Source organism: Homo sapiens, chromosome X (assembly GCF_000001405.40).
Source record: "Homo sapiens chromosome X, GRCh38.p14 Primary Assembly".
Lineage (NCBI taxonomy): Eukaryota > Metazoa > Chordata > Mammalia > Primates > Hominidae > Homo > Homo sapiens.
The window spans coordinates 153,083,891-153,092,963 of NC_000023.11; the positions used below are offsets into that span (position 1 = coordinate 153,083,891).

Sequence of the window (9,073 nt, forward strand, 5' to 3'; positions counted from 1 at the left end):
GAGGGACAACCCGATGTGGCACGCCATGCTTCCCAGACTCAGGGTCCTGCTGGGCTGAATAAGTGTGAGCTTGTTCTGCGTTGGTCCTTGACACAGCTGGTTGCCTGTGGCACAGTCTTCAACTCATTGAAGTCAAGTCCCTCTGGAGGAGTGTGGTTTGGGGAGAAGAAGGCGTTGGTTGCTTTGGGGATGTCAGGCTGCCACGGCGTGTTGTACTGGGCCGTGTCCCCTCAGGGGCTGCACTGTCCAATAGAAACATTATGCAAGATATTTATGTGTTTTCAAAATCTTCTAGTAGCCTCATTTAGAAGAATTTTGCCTTATTTAAAAGTAACTGGTGAAATTAATTTTAATGATGTGTTTTATTTAACTCGACATATCCAAAAGTGTTATCATTTCAATGACTGATCAGTATAAACAGTTACCGATTTGATAGTTTACCTTCTTCTTTTGCAATAACTCATCACTCACGGTTTCTTCCTCCTCTTCCAGCACTGCCTTCCCAGTGTTCCACCATTCCCCAAAAGGATTCCACCATTCCTCAGAAGAGGGAAGGCTGATGGGCTGACAGTCTGTTCAGGGGTGAGCTGGGGTTTGGTTTTCCTCCTTTAGGACTCCTTTAACTCTTGGGGATGCACTGTCCCCCTCTGCCCCGGAGTGTCTGCTGACCTATTATAGTTTCTCCCCAGGAGCTTAAGCCTCAAGTCCCTCACTTCCATCAATTGCCCATCTCAGAGGAAGGTGGGCACAATAGAACATCTGGCTAAAATTTTCTCCTTTCCACCTGCCATTTGATCATTCATCACACCTTTGAGAGCTGCTCTGTGCTTCAACATTTTCTATTATGCGAAGTGTGATACCCAGCCCGGGGCCATCGGGGAACTTAGGGTGTTTTCAGGCAGGGGGTGTGGGACAAGCCATGAACATAAAATGATGAAATGACAAGAAACTGCAAAATTAACTGCCCATATCAGAAGTTTAAACACGAAGTGATATCAGGGACAAAAGAAGGAGAAATGCATGCTGCATTTGGAGACTTGGAAGTGAGAGGCAGCGGCATTCCAGGCTAGAGGAGAGCAAAGGCTTAGGGACAGAAATGAGCACAGCCTTTTCAGGGACTAGTGAGAAGACAGGCCAAGGGTGTGTTGGGGCAAAGGTCCAGGTTTCATGCACAGAGTGAACCTAGGTGCTGTCTATACCCTTTGAAAAAAAGTTTGTATTTTGGTAAAATACACATAGCATAAAATGTACCATCTTAACTCTTTTTAAGTGTACAGTCCAATAACATCAGCACATTCAGTGTTGTGCAGCCATCACCACCATCCAGCCATAGAACTTGCTCATCTCCCCAAATAGAAACACTGTCCCCATTCAACACCAACTCCCCAACCTCTCCCCCATCCCCTGGCACCCACAAGTCTACTCTCTGTCTCTATGGATTTGACCACTCTAGGGACCTCCTGTGAGTGGAATCCTACACTATTTGTCCTTTTGTGTCTGGCTTCTTTCACTGAGTACAATGTCCTCAAAGTTGATATCCACACCCTTGGCTACCGGTATCACTGGACAATAGTGTAGGCATTGGGAAGTGGGGAAAATTTGCAGATGATGGTTGCTCTGTCATAGTGGTAATTTAGGGTAAGACTATAGGGTGTGTGGAGGAGGGAAGATCCAAAGTGACCTGATGTTTTGTTTTTACTTGGAAGGCTAGCAGAATGATGGTCCCCATGTGACTTAAGTGAGAAACCATTAATGGGCCTTAGAAAGCCCTCCAATAATCCATTATTTAGCACATTGGAAAGGTTTCAAAGATTGAATTCGCTGAACCATGCCAATATGTAAAAGAAAAAAGACAAAAAGCCCCCACTTTTTTCTGGTCAGTTAGCGCAGGTAGTCACTCCTGGATTCCCGGAGTGTTTTCCGTAGTCCAGTAATGGGCTGCAGCCTGCTCAGGCCTGTACAGAGACCCCAAGGAAATGGTTGGTTACTCTGTGGTGCCAGCTACTTGTTTTCACCAAATATCAGGAAAACAGGCAGGAGAGAGTTTCATCTTTTACTGTTGTATTAGTCACAATAAAGAAAGCATTTAGTTCTAGAGATTTTAGGTAAGTTTTCAAATTAAGAAATTCAGGTAAATTTTCAAAGTAGCAAACTTAAAAAAATCATATTGTATATAAGATCTACAAACCTAATAATGTCATTGTAAGGATATATTTTTCAAAATCAGGTAAGTGGATTTAGAACAGAAAATAAATGAGTAAGTTTCAGGTTTCCTTCATCTTCATTGTTTGTGTTTGGAGGTATGAACAGGTGCAAGGACTTAAGAGGCCCTGACGTCTGAATAAGACAGATTATTGGTTTACATCATTGATGCTAATTTGTTAAGCATGACTTACACACCCAAAGCACAGAAATTGAGAGAGATGTAGTGTAAAGGAATCAGTTCTTTCACAGACATTAGAACAAATGGAGTTAAATTGCATTTTATGGACTAGAGAGGATACACCTCCTTCGTTTTTAATATCCCCATGTATAAAATTGTATTTTCAATTGCTTTTATAATACAATGAAAAAATTCAGCTGTGTAGTGTAAACATGTTGGCCAATATTAACCTCACAGCACTAGCTTTAGTCTTCCTTCTTGGGGACTGGTTTGTTCACTTTTACTTATTGGCCTTTGGGGACACAGGGACTGAGACCTCCTCTGTTTGCTTGTGGGGAACGGGGTTTGCTGAACCCGGGACTACTTGTCTGCTCCTGTAGAAATGACTGGGACTCCAGAGTGCAGCTCCGAAAAAGTGAGCTCCTTTAGAAGCTCCAAGGCTCTAGCACCTGAGGTGTGTTCTCAGGTACCAACCACACAGGTGGCAATTCCAGATACCAAGTATGATCAGATCATCTCTTGTTTAGATGTCTGACTTCCATGAATTTGCCTGTACTCCTAGGGCCAGCCTGTTCTGGGCCTTGACTCACTTTTTATAGGCAGCAGTCTTGATTGTCTGTCTGCCAACCACTCATCCCATCCTTTGTGACATGGTTCAGGCCATCTGCTAGCTAAGACCCCCTGTCCCCTGCCTCTGAATCCCACTGCTTACTCACGACTCTTCTCTTCTGTGAGGGTGTCTGTGGTCAATCCAATCTACTTTGTTCTTTCACTTGAATACTTGTCCTGAAGGTGGACTCTTTACTTAAGTCCTTGCTATCATTTGGTATGTCATTGCTTGTTGTGCTTGTTATCCTTTTTCTTTCTTTTTTTCCATTTTTTTTTTTGAGGCGGAGTTTAACTTGCCTAGGCTGTAGTGCAATGGTGCAATCTCGGCTCACTGCAACCTCCGCCTCCTGGGTTCAAGCAATGACTCTCCTGCCTCAGCCTCCCAAGTAGCTGGGATTACAGGCACCCATCATCACACCTGGCTAATCTATGTATTTTTAGTAGAGACAGGGTTTCACCATGTTGGCCAGGCTGGTCTTGAACTCCTGACCTCAGGAGATCCACCCGCCTCGGCCTCCCAAAGTGCTGGAATTACAGGCGTGAGGCACTGCGCCTGCCCTGTCCTTTTTAATTATTAAAAAATATGTTTCAGTAACACTAACAACTTACAGAAGAAAAATAAATTGTTCATAACCCTATTACTTACATGGGTGATTTCAAATTTGTGTATTTCCTTCTAGTTTTTGTCCTTTTGGATATCTATTTTTGTTATCATAGTCTCTTTTTTTCATGTATACATATAATTTTGGGTTTCTAGATGTTTTAAATCCCTGAGAAGACAGTGGGGGCATTTTTAGGACCGGATGGTAACTGCCTTTGAACTTGAAGGGTTTTAAAGATGAGTGCAAACGCATTGGAGACATAAAAGAGCATAATGTATTGAGGGAACAGTGAAAAGGAGTTTTCCTAGAGCATAGGGTCTACAGGATCAGGAGTGGGAGGCAATGAGGTCAGACAAGTAGACTGAGAAAGGTCTAGAATGCCACTTGAAGGAATTTGACTTCATCCTAGGTGTGCCTACAGAGGTTGTTCAACAGAAACCTGCTGTGCCTAGGTTTGCATTTCAGAAGGGTCACCCTGGTGGCAATGTAGACATTGGAATGATAGAATGCGAGACTGGAGGTTGCAGTCACAAGACAGTGGCAGTAATCCAATAGAAAGCTAGATGAAGCCCAGGGCAGTTGGGATAGCTCCCCTCGGAGCAGTGGATGTGAAGGGTACCGAATCCCTTCTGCAAGGACTGCTGGTGCCATGGACCAAAGATACGAAGCATCCTATCCAAGTCTCACCCTCCTTACGAGAGCACCTCTTCTATCAAGCTACTCTCATTCACCCAGAATCACCATCTCACCACCCCACTTCTCTCCCTTCATTCTTTCTCCACCATACGGCCTGTACCATAAAATTAGCCAGTTGACTTTGTACTCAGGGCTTTCCTGCTCAAATTGCTTTTATCATTCACCGGACAAACATGTCTCAAGCAGGTAGAGAGCTGGGGTTGGAGAGGACTGGAATTGGAGTACTCAGAATACACTTAGGGCTAGGGTTGGAGTACTCAGCATACACCTAGGACTGAAGCTGAAGCACTCATTGTACACCTAGGGCTGTGGCTGGAGCACTCAGTGTACACCTAGGGCTGCGATTGGAACACTCATTGTGCACCTAGGGCTGGGGTTGGAGCACTCAGTGTATACCTAGGGCTGGGGTTGGAGCATTTGGTATAGACCCAGGGCTGGGGTTGGAGCATTGAGTGTACACCCAGGGCTGGGGTTATAGCACTAATTGTGCACCTAGGGCCGTGGTTGGAGCACTCAGTGTACACCCAGGGCTGGGGTTGGAGCACTCAGTGTACAACCATGGCTGGGGTTGGTGCACTCAGTGTACACCTAGGGCTGGGGCTGGAGTACTCAGTGTACACCCAGGGCTGGGTTTGGAGCACTCAGTGTACACCCAGGGCTTGGGTTAGAGCACTCATTGTGCACCTAGGACTGTGGTTGGAGCATTCAGTGTACACCTAAGGTTGTGGTTGGAGTACTCATTGTACACCTAGGTTTGAGTTTGGAGTACTCATGTGTACACCTAGGGCTGGGGTGGAATACTCATGTGTACCTAAGACTGTGGTTGGAGCACTCAGTGTACAACTAGGACTAGGGTTAGAGCACTCAGTATACACCCAAGGACAAATCAAGCTAGGTGTTTTTTTTTTTTTGCCTCTGAAAGAATTCCCCATGTCCTTATGCTAGCACATAGGGGATCATTGGAATCTGCCTTAACTCTTTTCTTCCTAATGAAATGACTTTCTTCTCAGGAGCAGAGATGTATCTACTCCTTTTTATAGCTCCCACAGAGTGAAGCACTCAGCCTGGCACGTGCTCAGTTGGCATTGAACTGGTGCAGAGGGGCCCTTGAATACTTTTGGACCACCTCCTGTCCATCTTCACCTCTTCCTACAATGCTGCCAACTCCAGCCCTCCCTGAGGAGGCTCAGAGTAAGTAGGAATGGTTTGGGCCTTTTAGGAGTCTGTGATATTTACAGCTGTACCCTTAGACTTCTGTCAGGAGAGGGTTGTACCTGGGCCTTGCTCAAAAGGCTATAGGGAGGAATGGGATGTTTGTGAGCTACAGGCCCCTGATCCTCCTGGTTAAGGACAGCATTCCTTCCCATAGACCCTCCGAGCTGGGGCTGTAGAGCCAAGGGTCAGATTTCCATTTCCTTGGCAGCCAAAATCAGATTATTTATGTTTCTCTTTCTGGTTGAAAGCCCAGTGCCAAATGGAGTTGTTGATAAACTTACTTAAGCTGCTGCGGAGGGTTTGGTCTCCCAGTCCTCTGAACTTCTAGGCCAGGGGTGCTCCTATAAGGATCCATCCGAGATGACCTGAGATTCTGCTTCTGTCCAGGAGGGTAAATCCAGTTGTTCCTTGCAGCTGACAGTTTCCCAGACCCTGCTGCCATGCTCATCCCTATCCCTTCTTCCACCCTTTCTCAGAAATCACATTCAGCCCTGTGGAGATAATCTTGGAACATTCTCGGCTCTCCTAGAATGACCTTTACCCTTGAATACCAAGTGACTGGAGTGGAACTCCAGGACACCTCTGTGTCCCAGCACAAAGAGCTAAGTCTCCATTCCCCCCCCCACCAAAACCCCAAACCAGAGATTCCAATTTCCAAACCAGAGATGATACCCCAGTTAGAGTCAGCAGAAGAACCATGAATGCTGGAAAGATAAGTGCTGTGAGGCTCCTGTCCAGGTGAGTGACTGAAGGCCTCGTAAGTCAACACCTTTCTAGTCAGTGAAGGAGCGCATGGGCTTTTTCAAGTTCTGCTGGTGAGAGTGGTTTTCTATTTGCTTTGTATTGTTCATACCTGACCCATTCATAAAAGAGTGAAAATTGTCCATTTGGGGGCCCTGGATTGAATTATGGTTTGAAATTCCAGTTCTTACAAGAAAAAATGAACATTTTAAGGATTCTAAATGTTGCATGGGCTTTTTGTTGGCCTTTGGTACTTACCCACATTCACCATTTATCATGATGAGATGCTCTCCATGCATTCTCCTTCAGAGGACATTGACGTTTACATTCAGGTTCAAGTACAGCATGTTTAATGGTGGCAGCTTAACCCCAAAGAAAGGAGTGAGAAGTGGGTGACAAAGAAAACTATTTGTGTATCTAGTGTTTTTTAAGACATTTATTCATTCATTTAACAAATGGATTTTTTTTACCCAATAAGATTCGCTTTATTACAAAGATAATATATGCTCATTTCAGAAATTAAAAAAAATACAGAGACACAAAGAAAACACAGAAGTCCTGAAATCCCACCTCCCAGGGACAATCACTATCAACGTTTGAGTGAGCATTCTTCCAAGGCTGGCTCCGCACCATCATGTGTGGAGATGTGGAAACACTATTGTGTGTGCTGTGGTCCTCTGCCTGTTATTTTGTCCTCAATCACGTGTCATGGACATCTTTCCATGTCAGTTAATAAGATATAGGTATAGGCAAATATCCATTCTCTTTAGTGACTGTGTAGTATTCCGCTGCATCAACATATCATAATCTATTTAACCTGTCCACTATTGATAGCTATTTAGATTGTTTCCAGATTTTCATTATTCTAAATAACCCTGCAATGAATGACCTTATACTACATATTTGTAAACTTGTCAGGCTATTTCCTTTGGATAGCTTCCTAGGAGTGGGCAAATGATGAAGTGCAGGATATCTAAAATACATTATTTCCTTTCCATTCACAACAATCCTGGGTCATTCAACTAGATGTAAAAGAAAGTTGATTTGGTCTTAAAAAGTTAACTGGCAACATTTTCTCAAAATCCATCAGGCCTGTCAGGAAGATGAACACGATTTTAGGGTGGGGATCCATTTAATTTCCTCATCTTCGCTTGGGTTTCTCTGTTGTTTCTACTTCCTTCGGGCCTTTCTGAAAGATTGAGGGTCTCCTCCTTTTCAGCATTGAGCTCCTTAGCCCTTAGCTTTCACTCTTTGTATTTTGGGTTGTCCCATGTTAGTATGTCCGATCATGGGAACAAATAATAACAACAACAAACACTTGCATAGCATTTGCAGTGTGCCAGGCATGCAGAATCATATCTGCTTTTCAAATATAATTCAGTTAATCTTCCAAAGAGCCTTACGTAGCAAGTTTCATTATCTTCACTCTACAGGTGAAGAAATTGAGGCTCTGAGAGAGTAAGTAGGTGAAGAAATTGAGTCTCTGAGAGAGTAAGTAGGTGAAGAAATTGAGTCTCTGAGAGAGTAAGTAGTTTGTCTGAGTTCACACAGCAAGTAAGTGGCTGAGCCAGGAACCAAACCCATTCAACTTGACTATGGAGGCTCATAGCTACACCTCAGCCAATGTACTTTCTCTCACCAGTTCACACAGGTGTCCACACAGGTGCTGCATGCTCTAGACCGTCCTAACCCATCTGCTTCTGTGACCGGCCAGTGGCATCTGCTCCTCCCCCACCATCTCAGTTGAAGAATTAAGATGAGATGCCTCCGTGTGTTTGTCTGGTAGGACATACTCCTTTTCTTGTATTTGAACGCATACTCCAGGGCTGCCATGGGGTTCTGTTCCCACATCCCTGCCCCCTGCTCTTTGTTCAAGGCTGAGCTCAACCAACTCATCCCAGAACAAGCGTTCATCTGCTTTCCTGTTCAAGGCAATGAGGAATATTTGAGTGGAGTTGAATTCTTCAAAGAAGTCTTAACCTTCAGGCTGGAGAAGACCAGAACTCCTCTTCCTAATTTGGAAATAATGTCTCTTGTTTATGGGGTTTGTTTTAATCATAAAGTATCTTGTGTTCATTTTAGAAAAGAAGAAAGAAGCAAATAAAATCACCTGTTAGAGAAAAGTAACTAATATTTTGATGTATTCCCTTCCAGTACTTACATATATAAGTATATATGTATGCATAGTTATATATATAACTATAAAGAAAAGATCATGCTATGTACTTGTATATAATTTTGTATATTAATTTTTGTTTAATTTTGTATCATAACTGTTTTCACATGTCATTAAAAATTCTTCAAAATCATGATCTACAATGACTGTGGACTATTTCATCATGTAGATATATAATTTATTTAATCTTTTTCTATTGTCAGACTTTTTAATTTCCCCCTTTCACAGTGACTGCTCACACTGTTATGAACATCTTTCTACTTATGTCTCTCTGCACAGCTCTTTCTAGAATAAATCCCAGAATAGGAATTTTCAAGGTGCTTGATCCAATATTACAAATTGCTCACCAAAAAGTTTTTTCCAGTTCATACTTTTACAGCAGAGCATTGGAATGTATATCTCATCATACCCTACCAGCATGTACTGTGTTTTTAATCTCTGCCAATTTGAAAGGGGGAAAATTGATTTTTTATTTCTAAAAAGTTGGAAAAGAAATCTCTTTCCAAGTGTTTATTGTCCATTTCTTTTTTTTTTTTCCTTCCTAGAATCCCTTTTTAATGACATGGGTCCTACAGGATCATAGGCCTTTAACTTGGACATCTAGACTCACCAACTCCTTATAGTTTCCTCTCTAAAGCATACCCTTCTATT

General features: G+C 43.2%; 1 long non-coding RNA gene across 1 annotated transcript; it reads left to right on the plus strand.

Annotated features, from left to right (window-relative positions):
• The first annotated feature begins 492 nt into the window (after positions 1–492).
• Positions 493–8,421, plus strand: LOC124905225 (uncharacterized). Its single transcript, XR_007068349.1, has 4 exons — positions 493–582; positions 5,331–5,481; positions 5,982–8,028; positions 8,123–8,421. It is a non-coding gene; the product is annotated as an uncharacterized LOC124905225 (long non-coding RNA).
• Positions 8,422–9,073: the final 652 nt, after the last annotated feature.